The sequence below is a fragment of the Homo sapiens genome, chromosome 9 (assembly GCF_000001405.40).
Source record: "Homo sapiens chromosome 9, GRCh38.p14 Primary Assembly".
NCBI lineage: Eukaryota > Metazoa > Chordata > Mammalia > Primates > Hominidae > Homo > Homo sapiens.
Window position 1 is genome coordinate 108,797,479 of NC_000009.12, and position 21,194 is coordinate 108,818,672.

Genomic DNA, 21,194 nt, shown 5'->3' on the forward strand with positions numbered 1-21,194 from the left:
AGGCACCAGCCCTTAGTCTTCCCATAGGGAAGACATTTAATCTTTACATGTCAGAAAGGAAGGGAATGGCTCAGAGCTACTCACGCCCCGGGAGTTCTAACCCAGGCCCAAGATCCAGCCCAGTGGCCTGTAGGCTACCTAAATAAGGAGCTTGATTTGGTTGCCAAAGGATGGCTGGCCTGCCTCTGGGCAATTGCAGCAGTAGCCTTTCTGCTTGTACCTTTTGGGTACCAGAGGCTACTAAGTTAATGATGGGGAATAACTTAACCATTTACACTCCACATAATGTGGCAGGACTGCTGTCCTTTAAGGGGAGTCTCTGGCTAATGGACAACCACCTCCTCAGATATCAAGCTCTGTTATTAGAGGGATCTGCAGTTCAATTAAGAAACTGCCCCTCCCTAAATCCAGCCACCTTCCTCCAAGAGGAAGCTGGGGAGCTTGAACATGACTGCAAACAGATAGTAGTACAAACCTAACGCAGTCAAAGAAACCCCCATAAGTAGTACAAACCTATGCAGCCACAAAGGACCTCAAGGAAACCCCATTAAAGAACACAGACTGGATTCTCTTTATGGACACAAGTTCTTCTACAGAACAAGGGATCCATAAAGCAGGGTATGCAATAGTTACCTTGAATGATATTGCTGAGAGTGCATCTCTCCTTGGGCACAAGTGCTCAACTAGCCAAGGTAATTGCCCTCACGAGGGTACTTGAATTAAGCAAAGGGAAAGCAGTTAACATTTATACTGATTTTAAGTATGCTTTCCTAGTCCTCTATGCCCATGCTACTATCTGGAAAGAGAGGAACTTCCTCACAGCTAACATGTCTCCCATTAAATACTATCAGAAAATTAATAAACTATCATATTCAGTTTTCCTCCCATGGGAAGTGGCAGTAATACATTGTAAAGGCCACCAAAAAGGGATGGATAAAATAGCTTAGGGAAATAGGTTGGCAGACCAAGCAGCTAAATCAGCACCAAGAGGGCCCAGATTTCTGATTCACTTGAAGCCCCTCTGATCTGAGAGGGCTCCATAAGAGAAATAAAACCTCAGTATTCTCCTTCAGAAATAGAATGGGCCACTTCTTGAGGATATATCTTTCAGTTCTCAGGATGGCTACAATTGGAGGATGGCAAGCTTCATCTACCAGCTGCCAACCAATGGAAAGTTCCTTAAAGCCTTCAGCAGGCCTTCCACCTAGGTAAGGATAAAACCTATCAGTTGGCCCAGAGGTTGTTCTCAGGAGGAAAAAAAAAACACCTGATACAAATGGTTAAGCAGGTCGTTAATGTTTGTAAGACTTGCCTTAAAAATCATCCCCTGAATCAGTGGCTTCTTCCCCCTGGAACCCAAAGAACAAGAGGCTACCCAGGTGAAGACTGGCAAATGGATTTCACCTCTATGCCAAAGGCAAGGGGCACCCAGTATCTCCTAGTATGGAAAGATACATACCTTCACTAACTGGGTAAAAGCATTTCCATGTCAAACAGAGAAAGCCTCCGAGGTGATAAAAGTAGCAATTAATGAGATAAATTCTTGCTTTGGACTCCCTGAGTACCTCCAGAGTGATAATGGCCCCTTGCTCAAGGCAGCTGTCATCCAGGGGGTCTCAAAGGTAGTGGGCATACAGTACCATCTTCATCGTGCTTGGTGACCACAATCCTCAGGAAAGTAGAAAGGACAAATGATATTATCAAAAGGAACCTCAGGAAACTGTGTGAGGAGACTCACCTCCCCTGAACTACCCTTGTTCCCATGGCCCTACTATGTGTGAGAAACACCCCTTCAAAGCTGGGTCTGAGTCCCTTTGAAATTATGTATGGACAGCCTTTTCTCACCAATGATTTCTTGCTAGACCAAGAAACCTCTGATTTGATTAAACATATAACTTCTTTGGCCCATTTCCAACAGGAACTGAACTAGGGCAATGTCTGTTCAACCCAGGGGACCTGGTACTGGTAAGGGTAGTCCTTTCCCTTTCTCCCTCTACCAGCCCAGATTGGGAGGGACCTTACACTGTACTTCTTTCTACTCCTATGGCAGTGAGTGTCACTAGAATAGATTTTTTGATTCATTATACTCAAAGTAAAGGCCTGGGGAGCTGATGGTTCCAATTCACCCAGTGATTCCCAATCCAGAAGAGCACCCAAAGTGCTAATGTGAAGAAATTGGGGAACTCAAGCTAAAAATCACAAAAGAAGTGTTAATAATTAATTTTCCATGAATATCCTCCTTATAGTCTTGCCTATCCCTGATGTTCTTACCTTCATTCTGTTCTGTAACATGGGGTGCCTTTATCAAAGACTCCTTAATCCTGAACACCCATGGGAATATCCATTTCCCTAAACAGTTATTGCTCCCCTAAAGTGTAACTGATTTCATATAAGGTTTAATTTATTTCACCAGGGTGAAACAGCTCAGGGTGCATTATTTTTTTCAGAAGGATTAGTATATTTCACTTATTTCTGTAATCTTTGGCACTAGATTCATTCCTTTTAACTCCTTTTTGTATAATACACATATTCAATCCATGTATACTTAACCTCGTAAAACTTGTTTCTTCTTGCCTAGAGGCCATCAAGCTCCAAATGGTCATACAACCTCGGAGAATGGCTCCCTTTTGCCAGGGACCCTTAGGTAGACCTCTGAGGGAAATCTGACTGCCATTTTCCTCAAAATAACACCCCCCTGTTAGCAGGAAGTAGCTAAGATCAGTCATCATCCATATGCTAACAGCAGTTAGATGTGCCTCTTCAGAGGGGGAAATGATACAATGATAGAGGCAGGAGGCAGAGAAATTCTAGGCAGACAGGGGTGGGTCCCTGGCAAAACCCCACTTTTAAGCCAAAAAGCCTGAAACCCGCAGCCCAAAGTGAGAACTTCCACTCTTGTGTGCCCACTCTCTCCCAACTGGTTCTTTATGAATAATGTTTTAAACCAGTCAAATGTCTCCTTTTCCAAAACTACCTATGGCCTGCCCTGCCCCCATTCTGTGCCTATAAAGACCCCATATTCAGCTGGCAGAGAAAAGCAGCAGCTAGACGTCAGGAAGAAGCGACTGGACATCAGGGATAGGTGACTTTGAGATGGCAGCTGGATAAGGCAATTTGACTTCAGGAGAGAGAGGCAGAAAAGCAGCTTGACTTCAGGGCTCTACCCTGAAGGGCAGGTCTCCCAGACCTGTCCCCTTTCCAGTTCCCGTTTGCTGAGAGCCGCTTTCATCACTCAGTGAAATTCTCCACATTCACCATCCTTCAATTTAACTACATGACCTCATTCCTCTTGGGCACTGGACAAGAATTTGGAACACATCAGGTGCAGGTATCCAAACAGGCTGTCACACTGGCCCTTTGCCCTCACTGGCAGAAGGCAGCTGCTCCATGCAATGAGGCAGAGGGCCCACTGAGCTGCTGTCTGTGGATGACAGAGCTAAGACAACATTGTAACACACCCTCTGGGGCCTTGGGATTGCAGGCACCCCACCTAGATGCTGCTGCAGGGCCCACAAAGAGTTTGCTCCTGCCAGTGCCAAAGTGGCCGGTTCCTGTACTTGCTCACTCATATGTTCCTGCCTGTCTCCCATGAGGGGTTGAATAGGGCAGCCTGAGTAAATGAGGCACGCTGTTGTGAGTTCCGTGAAAGCGTTAAGAAAATATCCTGCATTACAGCTATATCTCCATAAGCCACTTACATAAAATACATGAGAAGGGTTTCCATAAGGTGTTCTTAATTGTTCTATTTTTTAATTGCATAAGCAAAAGATTGCCCTGTGGACTATAGGATTGACCCGATGAAAATGACCCATTTTGTCCATTAACAAATTCAAACTGGGCACCGTGGCTCATGCCTGTAATCCCAGCACTTTGAGAAGCCAAGATGGGAGGATCACTTGAGCCCAGGAGTTCGAGATCAGCCTGGGCAACATAGTGAGACCCTGTCTCTACAAAAAAATAAAAAAATAGCCAGTGTGGTGGCACACACCTGTAGTCCCAGCTACTCAGGAGACTGAGGTGAGAGGATCACTTGAGCCCAGGAGGTCAATGCTGCAGACAGCTGTAACTGTGCCACCGCACTCCAGCACGGGTGACAGAGTGAGATGCAAGACCCTCTCTCCAAAAAAAAAGAGAGAGAATTCTATTTATACTGCCACTGGGGAGAACCACTGAAACACTCACTTCACTAAAAAGTGCCTGATTACATTTATCTGTGTCAAAATAATTTATTAACTTTGGATCTTGCCATAATATACATGACACACGTAACAGAGTGCAGAAAAATCAAACATTTTTATTTATTTATAGGCATTGATTCTCTCATATAAAGCAACACCATCTGTTTAAAGCTCACAAGCGATTAGAACTGAAAGCATCCTATGAAAAAGCAAACTGATATTTAAAAAAAGAAGAATTGAACACAATAATATATGTGAGACTAATTAACTTGCAAATTGATCTCCCCCACAGAATGGCCAGCAGTCTATGCTTGAAATCGCCTTTGTAAAAGTTTTATCAGTGAGAAAATTATAACAGTAAGCTAAACTAACCCAACTCCCATCTTGCCTTTCCCCTAATTATTCCTGGGCTATTGGGCCAACAATGAAAGACATTTAGGCTACAGTTTAAATGATAACAGGCCTTGTTCAAAACTCAACTGCAGTTGTAAAGCTAATGGGAGGCCATCAGGGTGGGGGGAGGAGAGGAGCCTGAATCGTGGTGCATCCTGTGAAAAAGCAAAGGAGGTTGTAAGACATGCAACTTCCCCAATTACTCCTGCAAATAACACCACTATTGTAGATTGGCCTTTTGGGATATCTTTCCAGTTTTTTTTGTTGTTGTTGTTTGTTTTTCATGTCTGACACCCATATAGCTCCACCTGGACCCATGGCTCCATCCAGACCAACAACTCCACTTTTGTGGCCCCACCCAGAAGCAATTCGGATCCCAAGAGGACAGCTTCAACCCTCTATGATTTCCTCTCCATCCCAATCAAAAATTTTTGAAAAGCATTGTTTTCTTTACCCTTAATATTTTTTCAAAAAAAGACAATGGACAGTTGAAAATATGAATACTATTAATAAGTATGGGATTACAAACTGAATATATTTAAGAAATATTAGGGATGTTGAAAGTGGAAAATCTTAAACCTTATTGGTTTATTGAGCTAGTTAATGGTGTTTTTCAATTGTGACTACAATAACAAAATTAAAGAACTTATATGAAATGTTGGAGAGATAGCCTCAAAGATTGTGACTAAAAGACAAGGTATTATTTGAGACTATATTTCAGCTATTAGGTTTACGATCTTCACCTTATACCTGGTCTATCTATTCTTGGATGTGTTCAACTTTTGCATAAGCATTCAGGAAGGCGTATATGTATAAAAGTAAGGAATTGCCTACAACCTGGCCTTTTCCATAGCTGTGATAGTGCTTCACACAGTAGAACACACCCAGGAAATAGGCAAGCCAGTGCAGACCCAGGTGCAGGCAGCACCTAAACCACGCAGGTGTAGAATCAGATAGAATCATCCCCAGACACCAGGTCAAAGTGAGGCCCAAGTCAACAAACTCAAGAGGCCTTGAGAGTGGAAAGGAGAATTAGGAAGCTACTCCTAGCAGGCTGGCTACTGGGACTAAGGACATGAAATCGCCATTGCAAAATTATAACTGAGACAGTGACACAGATCTGACCTGCCCAACTCCATCTTGCTTCTAACCTCCAAGCTGTCCTTGTTCATTTCTAGGCGTAGGCTGAACTAACTTTGATAGGCACTTAGTTTATAGCTTATAGTCTGAAACAGAGATAACAGCCTTTTCCCAAAACAACACTGCCTTTGTGGGACTAATAAATTAGTCAAAAGATGAGAAATTACGGTTTAGGAGTCATGTAGCTGGAAGCTACAAGATTCTGACCCTCTCCAAATTGCTCCTGGGGATAACATCACTATTGTAAAACCTAAGATCAGTGTTGGAGATATTTTGCAGACCCTGCACTTGATGGATCAGCTGGCACCCCCCATATATTGATAAACTTGCTCATGTGACTTTGTGGCCCCCACCCAGGAACTGACTCAGCACAAGAAGACAGCTTTGACTCCCTATGATTTCATCTCTGACCCAACCAATCAGCACTCCAGACTCACTGCCAACACCCTAAATTATCCTTAAAGGCTCTAATCCCAGAATGCTCAGGGAGACTGATTTGAGTAATAATAAAACTCGAGTCTCCCACACAGCTGGCTCTGTGTAAGTGACTCTTCTCGACTGCAATTCCCCTGTCTTGATAAATCAGTTCTGTCTAGGCAGTGGGCAAGGTGAACCCACTGGGTAGTTACAGACAGAAGGAGAACTAAGAAGCCTCCACACAGCTATGATCAAACCTCAATGAGCAGCCACAAAAGAGTCTCCACTAGTTCAGAAAGAGCAATAATTAGTCAGCACCTAATATATACAACAGGTTGTCCTGGAAATTCCTTATGTGAAACAAAATGTGAAATTTGACATATGATTTGTACTGTTCTGGTCTGGAAATCCCTAGTTAACACAAATATTCTTTCACAGCTAATTCTAGAGCAGTGCCGTCCAAGAGAAATAATACAAGATACATATATAAAGTTTTCCAGTAGCCACATTAAAAAACAAAAAACAGATGACATTAATTTTAATAATCTATTTCATTTAAAACAATATATCCAAAGTGTTATTTCAAAATGTATCACTATAAAAAATTATTAGAGATATTTTACGTTACATCTATCATATAAAATCTAGTATATTTTACACATAACAGCATTCAATAGAATACTAAATTTTCATGGGAAATACTTGATCTGTGTTTACAACATAAAATTTATAGCTGAAAAAATGGATACACAATTCCCTATTGTTTCAAACTTACTTAAAAGTTTCCCAATAAATAAATTGAATATCTACTTCTAAATTTAAATTTATTAAAGTTCAATAAAATTTTAAAAATTCACTTCCCCAGTACTATCAACCATACTTCAAGAACTCAGTAGACACATGGGACTAGTGGCCTCCATAATGATCAGCGCAGTTCTAGATAAGCAGACTTCAGGTCTGGCTATCTTCAGAACAGAACTCTTACTGTACAGATGTCCACTCAGAAACAGTAACACCACAGAAATAAGAATTCTTGGTGTACCAACCCAAATGCCCATCAGTGATAGACTGGATAAAGAAAGTGTGGCACATATACACCATAGAATACTATGCAGCCATAAAAAAATGAAATCATGTCCTTTGCAGGGACATGGATGAAGCTGGAAGCCATCATTCTAGTTTGTTAGCAAACTAACAGAACAGAAAACCAACCACCACATGTTCTCACTCGTAAGTGGGAGGTGAACAATAAGAACACATGGACACAGAGAGGGGAATATCACACACCAAGGCCTGTTAGGGGTGGGGGGAAAGGGGAAGGAGAACATTAGAACAAATACCTAATGCATGCAGGGCTTAAAACCTAGATGACTGGTTGATAGGTGCAGCAAACCATCATGGCACATATATAACTATGTAACAAACCTGCACATTCTGCACATGTATCCTGGAACTTAAAGTAAATTTTTTTAAAATGAAAAAAAGAATTCTTTACTTTTGCACAATGCTTTGAGATCTGTAAAATGCTGTATAAGCCCAATGAAATATGATGGGTGGAACTTCCTATAGGCTTTTATAAGAAAAATATTTGAGCTCAAATTCCAGCTCAAACACTTCCTATTTGGACCTTTTACATTAGGCTTGCCCAGCCGCAGTTTCCACGTATGTAGAAAGGGGTGATGATTATTCCCCACCAAGCTCAAGGAGTTGATGTGAAGATTAAATGGGATGATATGCGGGAAAAAAAACCCATAAAGTTATAGAGATGTTAGCTGTCATTATTACTGTAACTATATGAGGTGGGTATCACCCTTGTTTTACAATAAGGAAACAGTCTGGAGAATGTAACTGAATAACCCAAAGTCAGGACATGGTAGAGGAGGGACTCAAAATTGTATCTTCCAGCTCCAAATCAAATACTTTTTCCACTATTGGTATCACAAATGCCTTACATAAAATCTAAACAACTCAAATCCGAGGATACTTAGAAGTTAGTAAATAAAAGAAATTTAAATCAAGAAATTAGAATTCAATATAGCAAAAGATGATGGGAGAAAAATGAGAAATCTTCAACACGTTCTAAAAGGAAATACTGATCATGAGAAGAATGACTGGTTTTATCAAGCAAAATTTTTAAGGCTCATTTATTAGCAAATTCTTTCTCAGATCAGAAAGATAGCAGAGAACTTTCAAGTTTTTAAATACAGGTGGTCATTTGTCTCTTACAGAAACATCCATTATCAGCTTCCTGAAGAGACTCAGGCATGTCTTGGAAAGCCACAGACCTTTGGGGATAGGTCAGAATCAGAAAACATCTCTAAACCCAGCAGCACTTTTCAAGACAACCTATTGTTTGAAACCCAAGGTTTAAATATAACAAGTGAGACAGTGTGAGAATCTCCTTGCTTTAGTTTACTGCACTGATTCATCATGGATAACTCTGTAAAAGTAGAGAATTGTTCAGTTAACAAGCTAGCTATCCTCTAGGGGTCTGAAACTAGGATGTCGGGCAGGATCTGTGCTCTCACTAAGCCTCTAGAGAAGGATCCTTCCTTGCCTCTCCCAGCTTCTGGTGGTTCCCAATAATTCTTGGCATTCCTTGGGTTGGATGCATTGACCCACTGTCTGTCCCCATCATCATGGGCATTCTCCTCCTATGTCTATCTCTGTGTCTCTTCCTCTCCTTACAAGGCTGTCATTCATATTGGATTAGGGTCTACCCTAATGATGTTATCTCAGGATATTACTAGGATGTCAACTTGATAACATCTGCAAAAAAAAAACCTATTTACAAATAAGGTCATATTTACAGCTGCCAGGGGTTAGAACTTCAACGTATCTTTTGGAGGGACACAATTCAACCCGTAACAATGGGAATAACCCTTGAATTTGTTTTCTGAGTCTATTTCCTCTCAGATAAACAAGGACTTTTCATTCATCCCTTCCTGCACCATCATTTTTCTTTCCTTTTCACTAAATCATTCCCATCAGCATGCAAAATACCTAACATATGCAAAACAAAAAAACAAAGCCCTCCCTTGACCCCATCTCTCTCTCCAACTATGGCTCTAGTTCTCTCTTCTGTTATAGCAAAACTCCTCAAGAAAGAGTCCCCTTCCTTCACTTCCTCATAATCCAATTCTCTCTAACCCAGGTCTACTCAGGTTTCTCCATCACGCTGTTTGTCAGCATCACGGATGACCTTCACATTGCCAGATTCCAATGGTAAATTCTCCACCCTTAGGCTCCTTCTTAGTCTCATGAGCACTGGTCACACTGATTGCTCCATCCTCCTTACAAGCCTTTTCTCCTTGCTTCTAACACCTCACACTCTCCAGCTTTTTCTCCTATCTAATCACCACTCTTCCCCTTCCTTTGTTAGATTCTTCTCCTCTTCTCAAATTCTAAGGTGGAGTGCTCCAGGTCTCAGTTCTCTCTAAATGAACTTATACAATCCCATAGCCATAAATATAGTATGTTCACTAGTGGCCTGCCCTTGCCCATTTCCATATATCCAACTGCCTACTTAACATCTCACTTGGATTTCTAATAGACATTCAGAGAAGCACTATGAAATGTGCACCTCCAACCCCACCAAAATGTTGACTTTCCCTGTCTAGTGAACGACACCATTATTCACCCAGTTGCTCAAGCCCCACAAATCCTGGAGAAACAGCAAAGGCATGATCTCTACCTCAACTTTGCCTTCCAAATCTCACAGGAGTGCATCTGATAGGTGGAACCTGAATTACATCCAGAACCCTAGCTACAAGGGAGTGCAGGGATCATTTTTCTCATACCCCATATACAGTCCAGTAAATTCCCATAATTCCATCTTCAAAATATATTCTGAATCCAACTACCTCTCACCCTGTCTACCAATACAAACCACCATCATCTCCATCCAGGTGACAAGAGCTTCCAACTGGCTCCCTATTCCAATTATGCCCCCTTACGGTCTATTTTCCACATAGTAGTAGGCTGCATGATCTTTAAAATTATATCAGATCGTGCCCTGCCTCTGCCCTCAACCCTCTCCAGTGGCTTTCCATAGCCTGTCCCAACATGGCAGGAAAAAATCAATGGCCAAGCTCCTAAGAAAAATGCAGGAGCAGCACAAGCATGACCTCTGCCTCACTTTTACCTTGCCCATCTTAGGTAAGTGCAAGTGCTTTGGTGCAACCTAAATTACATAGAGAGCTCCAGCTGTGGCTGGACTCAATGGCTCACGCCTGTAATCCCAACACTTTGGGAGGCTGAGGTGAGTGGATCACCTGAGGTCAGGAGTTTAACACCAGACTGGCCAACGTGGTGAAACCCTGTCTCTACTAAAAATACAAAAATTAGTCGGGCATGGTGGAGGGTACCTGTAGTCCCAGCTACTCAGGAGGCTGAGGCAGGAGAATCACTTGAACCTGGGAGGCAGAGGTTGCAGTGAGCTGAGATGGCACCACTGCACTTCAGCCTGGGTGACAAGAGTGAAACTCCATCTCAAAAAAAAAGAAAAAGAAAAGTAGTACATTTAGTCTCATCCCAGTTTTATGGATAACTGGGGCAATTTGAATATGGCCTATAAGTTAATGATATTGTTGAATCAACATTAATTTTGCAGGTGTGATTATGTATACTACATGATTATGTAGGAGGTCCTTGTTCTTAAGGGATGAATGCTGAAGTGTCTTGAATTTTTACTTTCAAATCATTCCAAATTAAAGCAGAGACAGGGAAATGTTAACAATTGACGAAATCAGGAAAATGATATATGGGCATTCATTGTACTATTATTCTTTTAACTTTTCTTTTGGATCAAAATTTGTCAAAATAAAAATTTAGAGGCCAGGCACAGTGGCTTAATGCCTGTAATCCCAGCACTTTGGGAAGCCAAGGCAGGTGGATCACCTGAGGTCAGGAGTTCAAGACCAGCCTGACCCATATGGTGAAACCCCATCTCTACCAAAATTACAAAAATTAGCCAGGCGTGGTGGTGTGCGCCTGTAGTCCCAGCTACTCAGGAGGCTGAGGGAGGGGAATCACTTGAACCCGGGAGGCAGAGGTTGCAGTGAGCCGAGATTTCGCCACTGAACTCCAACCCAGGCAACACAGCAAGACTCCATCTAAAAAAAAAAAAAAAATTTAGACAGAAAACTGCTAGGGAATAGTGACTAGTTTTATTTATTGGCAAGGCTGCTCTGAGTTCAGGGCTGTTTCCTTTGCTCATGCCACATCTTAAGTATATGCTCTCAGAATGCATGTATACAGAATGCATGTAACCCAGTGTGGATTTAGGCTGTTCTTTATTCCTTTTTCCCACTCTTAGAATACGTGGTGAGAAAATACAACTGTTCCAGGAAATGATACACACACACACACACACACTCTCTCTCTCTCTCTCTCTCTACGCCCCCCCCAACCCCTTTCTCAGGAATTAAATGAATGATAGCAAATGCATGGTGTATCAGCCACCAGAACCCCTCCTACAGCAATGGCAGATAAACTAATTGATCAAGCACTCTTTCCTGCCAAACCTCATTATGCCTCAGAATCCTTCAACACAGCTCTCTAGAAAGCCTTGATTAATGAACAGGAGCTGGTATGAGATGAAACATTTGCCATTCCTTTACTAAATAGTCTACTTTAGCAAAACCTACAAAAAAAAAAAAAACACTGTGGTTGTCATGAGTATCTTTGACGCAGCTATGAAAAAAAAGACCTGAATCTGGAACCAAAAGACCTGATTCAAGCCCACCCTATGCCTCTTACTTCTAGCACTTGGGAAAGCCTCTTAAAGTTATTTGCCCTCCATTTCCCCATCTGTAATAGACCTTTCTCACAGGGGTGTCAGGTGGTTAAAAAGAGACAATGGACACTTTGTAAATGCCAAGGACAGTTACATGTGAGGAGTGAGATCATACGAAGAGTGGCATCATGAAGAATGGAAAAATTTGCTCAAGTATTATTATAAATCAGGATAGAAAATGAGTTATAAGAGCCTAAAGTGTTATTTGTTTTTGCCTGTTCGTTTTTTAAGCCAGTGCAGAAGGACAAATTGTGAATGCACTTTCTCAGTATCCATCGTTGGTTCTTCATTTCTCCAGCTTCTAAAAGCCTAAGGGTTCAATCCTCGGACCTTTCTGCTGTTCATTCCATAGGTGGTTTTCTCTAATCTCATGGCTTTAAGTATGATTCTTCATATGCTATTGACGCGCAAATTTTGAAAATGTAACAAGATGTTAAAAAGGAAGTTTGGCCAAGACTCCAACACAACAGATATCAAATACTAAGGTCAGAAGCTAATGCAAATGAGTATTTCCAAGGTAGATATCTGAGAAGAGTTTGACTTGGGCCCCTCACTGTAATCAAGGGCATAAAATGGTCTCGTCACTAGAGATTAAGGCGGGTAGTAAGGATTTGTGAAAGGTTTTCTTTGAAGAAAGCTGTGCTGTGAATAATTCCTCTCCATGGAAAATAGAGATCTATTGACAGAGGATGACTTGGAGAGCCGACATGTGTTCCCTGCAGTTTGGAGAGGGGGAAGAAGCACTTAATTAATTGGAGTGTGACTCCTACCTGGGGAGTGTAAAGGTAGGAGGCTGCTAAAGCCGTGGATGGCAGCAGAAAAGAGATGACCCCTCAGGGATCAGCCAAGGTACAGGGTGTGTGTGTCCCGTGGACAAGAGGTGGGCCGTGCAGGAGAAAGAATGGGCTAGGACCCTTATCATTCTTGCTCAAGTGTTCTGCTTGGCAGAATAATAGGACAATACTTGAGAAAGTCTGTGTGTAGTGAGCTGCAGAAAACCCAGCAGCAGCTGGAGGAAGAGGATGCATTACCCACGCCAGCGGTGTTGCAAAGGGGAGCCACCAGAGAATCCACAAAAGAACCAAGGAAGATTCAGCGTTGAATATTAGCCAACCCCAGGGAAAGTGTAACCATGTTAGGACAGAACTACCCAAGTAAGAACTTTCTGATCTCTTTTTGCTCTACCCTCCAAGGTCTCCAACTCTGGAGTGGTTGAAACCATAGCTAATGAGAAGATAAGCAAGAAAGAGAAAAAACCTGACCATAACTTCTTCCCCAATGTGGTAGCCTACCTGCTATAGGCACAAGCTTGAGAGGTATAAGATGGGGGAGTTGGAAGCAGAAGAACCATGACCTCTTCATATTAAAAAATACGTATTTTTTTAATCAGCCTCTACATTGGGTATACACCATGACCTTTTTATGATGACATAAGTGTTGATTAATAGAGTGAACTGGACATTTTTTTCTGGATCAACATTGCATTTTCCTAAAGTGAACGATGGAACTTTCTGATAGACGAGAATGACGAGAAAAATCATGGTGCCTGCCAGAGTTTTTACCCGACTGCAAAGAAGACCACTACTCCACCAAATGTTAAAGGGACATTCAGACACAGAAATAAACTTGCACTCAGGTTGCATCCCTGGAGCCGTGCTTCTTCACAATACCTGTCATGGTCATAGAAGAGGCCTTTCAGAATCACCATAGCCAAAGACAAATTCTTGATGTTCATCCCCCAGACCTGCTCTTCCCCATCTCATTAAACAGGAACTCCACCATTTCATTCGGTCAGGCCAAAATCCTTAAAGTCATCTTTGAATTCTTTCTTCCTTTTACATCCAAGAGCCAAACTATCAGCAAATCCTATAAGGTCTACTTTCAAAATTCTGAATCTAACCACTTTTTTTTTTCTCTTTGATGGAGTCTTGCTCTGTCGCCAGGCTGGAGTGCAATGGCACGATCTTGGCTCACTGCAACCTCTGCCTCTGGGTTCAAGAAATTCACCTGCCTCAGCCTCCCAAGCATCTAGGACTACAGGCGCAAGCCACCACGCCCGGCTGATTTTTGTATTTTTAGTAGAGACAGGGTTTCACCATGTTGGCCAGGATGGTCTCGATCTCTTGACCTCGTGATCCACCCGCCTTGGCCTCCCAAAGTGCTGGGATTACAGGCATGAGCCATCGTGCCCGGCCGAATCTAACCCACTTTTGACCACCATCTAATCTAAGCCACAATCGCGTCTCCTCTGGATTATTGCTGCATCCTCATAAGAGGTCTCCCTTCTTCTACCCTTGCGTTTCTACTACCTTTGCCTTTAGGTCTGCTCTCAACACAGCAGCCCCAAGTGACCCTGTACAGCATGTCGGAGCTGCCCAAAATCTTTCAATGCCTTCACTTTTAATTTAGACTAAAAGCCAGCATCCTCAGGATGCCTACATGATCTAGCCCCTAATCGTTTTCCAGCCTCATCTCCTATGACTCCCTCCATGCTGGCCCTGATCTGGCTGCTCCAGGATCCTGCTTTCCCTCTGACATGCTCAGCACTCTTCCATCTCAAGCCCTTTGCACATGCTGTTCCTTCTGCCTGGAATTCTCTTCTGCTTTTAGGTTTCTGCTGAATGATCACCTTATTAGAGAAGCCTCCATGAACTGCCTAATATAAATTGCAACTCCATCCTACCTCTCCCCCCACTCCCTCCTGAACTCTCTCTTCCTCCTCTCACTGTGGTTACACCCATGTCACTTAAAGCCACTTGAAATACTAAATATTTACTTTTTCATTGTCTGCCTCCTCCTACCAGCATGTCAGCTCTCCTAGTCTAGGATTTTACTTTATCCACTGTTGTAAGCACTCAAAATTGTTTGAACGGATAATAATTTATATTAAAATTCTTATAAGGCCTCCTAAGTGCCAATCATTATATGAAAAAAAAAATCTTCCATGGCCTCTTGCAATATTTGGAAACAGATTCTGAAATGGAGAGGAGCGAGGCACTCTGGAGCGAGGCACTCTCAGTCTCTTCCTGACTCCTTTCAGGCCTACCCTCCCCGATTCATATCTTTTAACAGGAACACCCCCCCTCCCACCCTGGGAGCCTTTCCAGGATAGATGGGGGCGGAGGGAGCCCAGGGGGTCTCTTCTTGGCAATTGCAGCTGCACATCAAAACTTGACTCTGACACAAGCAGGAACCAGGGCCAGATCCTGGGCTCCCCAGGCCTCTGTTCTGACCGCCAGACAAGAATGTCTGTCTCTGTTAATTTGACTTAAGCTCTGTTTAATTACTAACTTGGTAGTTTCTGTACTCTGCTTAGCTGCTTGTCAAGTATGTGGCACTTTTGATAATTTAAGGGTTGGAATTTAGTCTATTTTTGCAATTGAAAATCAGCCTGGAGCCAGAGTTTCCCTTTTATTCAGAAAGACGAAACAGATGGGACATCAAAGGCGGTCATCCTGTAATTTTGTCTTTTCTGATACATTAAAAGCAGGCCTTGCACACTGGCTGCTTGATGTCATTGGAAACTTCTATTGGGCCTGTAAATATGAAGTCTAGTGCTTTCATATCATTAGTTTTTATCTTTCTGCGTCCAGCTTAAGAAAAATTACTCAGCAATGTCCGATGGCCACACCCAGAGGCAGCATGGAGGATGCCTAGGAAGCATGGGGACTGGGAGCAGGAGAGTTTGGGTTCCAGGACTGGCTCACAAGCTCTGGGTTCCATGACTCCAGTGCTTACCTAAGATCATTTTAACTGCTGTTATACATTCTACAGCATTTGTTCATTCAAACCAACACTTATTTGGTATCCCATAGATTTTGGGGCAGATTCCACAAGCAAGGAGATCTGGTTCCTATTCTCAGAAAGCACTCAGTCTAATAAGACGACAGATGGGGAAAGAGACCAGCTCACTCTACATAGTTGTTGTAGCCAAGGTGTACAGAAAGCAAACCAGGAGCATGGGAATAAGTCAGTCTACTTGAAGGATGGGGAGGTATTCACCAAGTGTGGCGTACTCAGGACAAAGGACAGCCTGCACCCCACAGGAAAGTTTAGTATAGGCTGTGATGGGGAAGGGAGGCAGAGGAGGAGTGGAGGCAGGGGACTGTGAGGAAAGGAAGAGGGTGTAAAAGTGAAGAAAGTGAAGTTTGACCTGTTAGGTTGAGGTCAGATATTCTGGAAAAACAAAGTCACTTGGTTAAATGGGAATGACAGAAATAATAGCTAACAATTATTAAGCTCTTATTGCTACTATTTTAGTACTTTCCACTTAAATCTATGATGTTCAGTGATGGCAAATTATAATACTTGCCCAAGATGATTCAGTTGGGAAGAGGTGAAGATGGGAATTTGAAGGCAATCTGCAGACCTCAGAGCCCAGCCCTTAGCCATCACACAGTCTTGCCAGGGCTTCGCAAAATATTCAGTGAACTGATGAATCCAAAAGTACTTTGCCAACTGTGAAGTGCTGCCCAAAAGTAGCCACTGCTGTTTACTAGTTTTGTTACGAAGATCTCCAAAATAAGAGATCTTTCTTCTTCCTTGATATTTGACAGTGCAAACCCTGAGCATTTTTTCCCAGGTTCAGAATAGCAAGCAAGAAAGGCTATGAGATTGTTATGTGGACATATTATGTAAACAAACAAACAAAAGGCTATGAGACAGAAATCACTCTGGATGAAAGGAAAGGAAGTCTGGGCTTTCATGAGTCACACTGAGAGACAGAAAAAATGATAAAGTCAGGCCAGGCAACCCTTCTGAAAGCTTAGCCTGTACTGGCACCTGCTGGTGCCCACAGTAGCTGTGCCAGCTTTACTTTCAACCAGGAATTATCCCTTGGAGGGTAAATGCCCCAGGGCAGTTTTATGTGTGAAGGGATTAGGGGCAGAGGGAAGGGTTGCAGCTTTTCTTCTTTTCTTACTCAAGAGGCTGCTGTGCATCTTTGGAAAAACCTCCAGGCTAAAATTCACTAGTAATAAACTACTGAGCACCTTTTATGGACATGCGTGGCACTGAGGGTCTCACTCAGCTCCCCCAAGAACAGTACCCCCAGCCCACCTCTGCAAGACACAGAACTGGAGGAGGTTGCTGCATTTGACCAAGATCATGCAACTAACTACTAAGTGGCAGCTCTAATTTAGGCCAAAATTCGATTTCATTTATACTCTTTTTTACAGCACCAGGTTATTTCCAAAGACTTAAGTTCACAGTCTAATTTTCCCATTTGCTATGTATGGGATCCTGGCCCTACCAATTCACCACTGAGAGTTTTGTCTTGGTTGACTGATCCCCTTACCTTATTCCAGAAGAGGTCAAACATGCCTACCTTACTCAAATCCTTTTCTGCAATGTGGGGAGAAACCCCTCTCACGGTGTTTGTAATGATCCTAAAAAGAGGTTGGATCTAAAAACATAAATAACAATACAATTACCTTTAAAACCTGAAGACCTGCTACGCCATAAATGTTTCTTTGAACTTCCTGGCTCCAAATGGAAAGAAGAATTCAAAGGTATTCCCTGAAATAGCTCCTAAACTTGTCAGTTGATGTTCGCACCTGGAAAAATCTCTTAACCCCAAATGTGTCCAATCAAAGATCTAGAAAACTTATTTTCCAGAGCTCAGTTGAAATTTAAAGAAAAACAAATAAAAGATACACAGTTGAACCATATGAAATTGCCAATATTTGACCATTCTGACTTACCAAAAATAAGTAAAAGCAGCACATTGAAGGGATTCAATGTAATTTACGCAGGCCCTCAAAAAGACAGGGTCTTTATCACTGTAGTCATTGGACAAGCCCCCTCCAGGCCAAGTATCAGCAGACAGGCACAAGAGTCACCTGGGTGATTGTTTAATATGCAGGTTCCCAGGCCCACTCCAGAAATGCCGATTCAGGACTGGAGTGGGGTGAGTCACTCAGGAATGTGCCTGTGTAAAAGACATCCCAGGTATCCCAACACAGGGAGGAGGTGCACCTTGCTCTGGAGTACTACTGGGCTTCTAAGGCAATCACCCAGGTGACTCTTGTGCCTGTCTGCTGATATTTGGCCTGGAGGGGGCTTGTCCAATGACTTTACAGTGATAAAGACACTGTCTTTTTGAGGGCCTGCGTAAATTACATTGAATCCCTTCAACGTGCTGCTTTTACTTATTTATTTTTGGTAAGTCAGAATAGTCAAATATTGGCACTTTCATATGGTTCAACTGTGTATCTTTTATTTGTTTTTCAGAAGACAGCATTCCAGGATGCTGCACTCTCAAAGGGCATCCAGTCTACGGTGGGCAGGCTGATTTAAGGATTTATGCTGTACAAGTGGACAAGATCCTGGAGGGGCACAGTTTCAAATCTCATTTCCATAACTTGGCCGCTGTGAGAAGTCTTTGGAGTACCCAGCTTTTTTGTTTTAATGATCCAACCCTGCTTTTTGTTGTTTCCTTTTGTTTGTTTTGTTGCCTGAAATTTATTATTATTATTAATTACTGCGAGGGGACCTGAAACACTTTTTGAATAGCTGCTTTAGGGTGATGTGTTCAGTCCCCATCCCTCTACCCTCCAAGACAGAATTACTGCGGCTCTACTTGTTGGTTTAAAGACTATTTATAAGCAAGGTCCATCTTCCACATTGCAGATCCAAACCAAAGCCTCATTATTTCCACTGTTTGTTTTGCTGCAGAATGGTTAACATTTACATGGAAATGGGTCTTTTTCTCTATCCTGTAATTTGGATTGTTTAGTTTTCCTTTTTGGACTTCTTTGATGCTGCTGAAGAAAGAAGTCCGCAGGAATCTGGAGAAAGGAAGAGTGAGCTGCCGGGGGCCGAGTGGGCGGCAATGCTGTTTGCTTCCGTGCCTGTGTGGCGCCCCCCCGCCACGCCGCCCCCACCACTTCCCCTAGTTGGACTAAGCTATCTCCTTCCTGTTTCTGCTTTTCTCCCTCCTACAGCTGGGCTAAGATATGTCAGCACTTAGGGCTGGAGGTCCAGCTTTACCACTAACTCAATATGGAACCTGGATCAAGTCTCCCTCGGAAGCTTTGCTTCCCATGTGAACAGTGAAGGTGCTTAACCAGATGATCTCTAAATTCCATTACATTCCTAAGCCCACTGAGCTTCCCTTTTCTACACCCTTTTCCTTTCTATCTCGGATGAAGTAAAAAAGTTGCTTTTTTTATACCCAAAGCATGAAAATAATAACCAATGAATGTCCCCCAGATGTCCCTGAGTTTCAAAGATGACATCATTGCTATATAAGATTTTCCAAAGACTTTCCAAGGCTTTAAATCCTCTAGCATTTCTACCTCACCTACTACCCCCACAACCATTCCCCATTAGCCCCAACTTAACTGCAACCCTAGAACTTTCTAGGTTTAATTTCTGTCTCTCCTCTTCCTTTTATTTCTTGCTAGAGGATTCTACAAGAAATATAACTCCACTTCCAAGTATCTACTCTAGAGAAGCATTTTGCCAATGTCTACGATAAGGCATAAGGAAGTGTGTTCACTGAGGCCTTGTTTACCATAATGAATAAAATGGATGTCTATCAAGCAAAAAAACAAACTGGGAAATCCATTTAATGGAATACTATGCAGCAGTTCAAAAGAATGTGACAGAGCTATATGTATTAATATGGGTAGACTGACAATATACATTGTTGAATAAAAGCATGCTATAAGATGATATGCATAGTATACTAACTTTTATGTAAAAACTATATCTATTCTAAGTGTATATATATACACACATATATATACAGACGAATACATATACACACATATGTAAAGGCATAGCAAAGATTTGGAAGAATATATAAGAAACTGGTAACATTGTGTACCACCACAGAAGGAATGGTCAAGGGGACTTTTTAAAAACTTTTAGGCTGGGCACGATGGCCACACCTGTAATCCTAGCATTTTGGGAGGCCAAGGCAAGCAGATTGCTTGAGCCCAGAGTTCAAGACCAGCCTGGGCAACATGGTGAAACCCCATCTCTAAAAAGAAAAAGAAAAAAACTTTAAAAAATTGTTTGTAGAGACAGGGTCTCGCTGAGTTGCCCAGGCTGGTCTTTAACTCCTGGCCTCATGTGATCATCCCTCTTCTGTGTCTGCCAAAGAACTGGGATTACAAGCATGAGCCATTGCAACTGGCTGAGGGGACTTTGACTAAAAATATTAAAACATTTCATGTAGCTAAATAATTAAGTAATCACTTAATAAATTTAAATTAATTTGAAAAATACAGCCCCTGAGTATATGACAACAGCACAAAGAATGAGAGAAAAGTATTCTGTTGTAAAGTTCTTATACTATATATGAAGCAGTATATTATTTAAAGATGGCTGTTTGTGAATATTAATGATGAGTACTTTAAATCCTGAGACATACACACAAAAGAAAAATTAGGAAAAGAGATTTAACAAATAAGACAAGAGTGAAGATAAAATAGAATTGTAAAAAATATTCTATCCAAAGGCAGGTGGGCAAAGAGGGAAAAGGTAACCAAAAAAAAAAAAAAAAAAAAAAAAAAAAAAAAAAAAAAAAACAGATGTAACAAACAGAAAACAAATAGTAAATGATAAATTTCAATATAACCATATCAAGCACTAAGCACTCCCCTTGATAACTGGAACAAGACAAGGATGCCCACTCTCACCACTCCTATTCAACATAGTACTGGAAGTCCTAGCCAGAGCAATCAGGCAAGAGAATGAAATAAAAGGCATCCAAATAGGAATAGAGGAAGTCAAACTGTTTGCAGATGACATGATTTTATACCTAGAAAACACCATAGTCTCTGCCCAAAAGCTCCTAGATCTCCTAAACAACTTCAGCAAAGTTTCAGAATATAAAACCAATGTAAAAAATTAGTATCATGTCTATACACCAATAATATCCAAGATGAGTGCCAAATCATGAACACAATTCCATTCAAAATAGCCACACATGGCCAGGCACAGTGGCTCACGCCTGTAATCCCAGCACTTTGGGAGGCCAAGGCAGGCGGATCACCAGAGGTCAGTAGTTCAAGACCAGCCTGGCCAACTTGGCGAAACCCTGTCTCTACTAAAAATACAAAAATTAGCTGGGTGTGGTGGTGGGCGCCTGTAGTCTCAGCTACTCGGGAGGCTGAGGCAAGAGAATCGCTTGAACTAGGGAGGCAGAGGTTGCAGCTAGCTGAGATCATGCCACTGCACTCCAGCCTGGGTGACAGAGTAAGACCCTGTCTCAAAATTTAAAAAAAATAAATAACCACACACACACCCCAGGAAGTGAA

General features: G+C 42.1%; 1 annotated feature.

Annotated features, from left to right (window-relative positions):
* Nucleotides 4,365-4,918: an enhancer, noted in NCBI's record as "OCT4-NANOG hESC enhancer chr9:111564123-111564676 (GRCh37/hg19 assembly coordinates)". NCBI's record gives its function as "activates a minimal SCP1, AML or CMV promoter by ChIP-STARR-seq in naive H9 embryonic stem cells {active_cell/tissue: H9 hESC(naive)}" and the evidence as "EXISTENCE:reporter gene assay evidence [ECO:0000049][PMID:30033119]".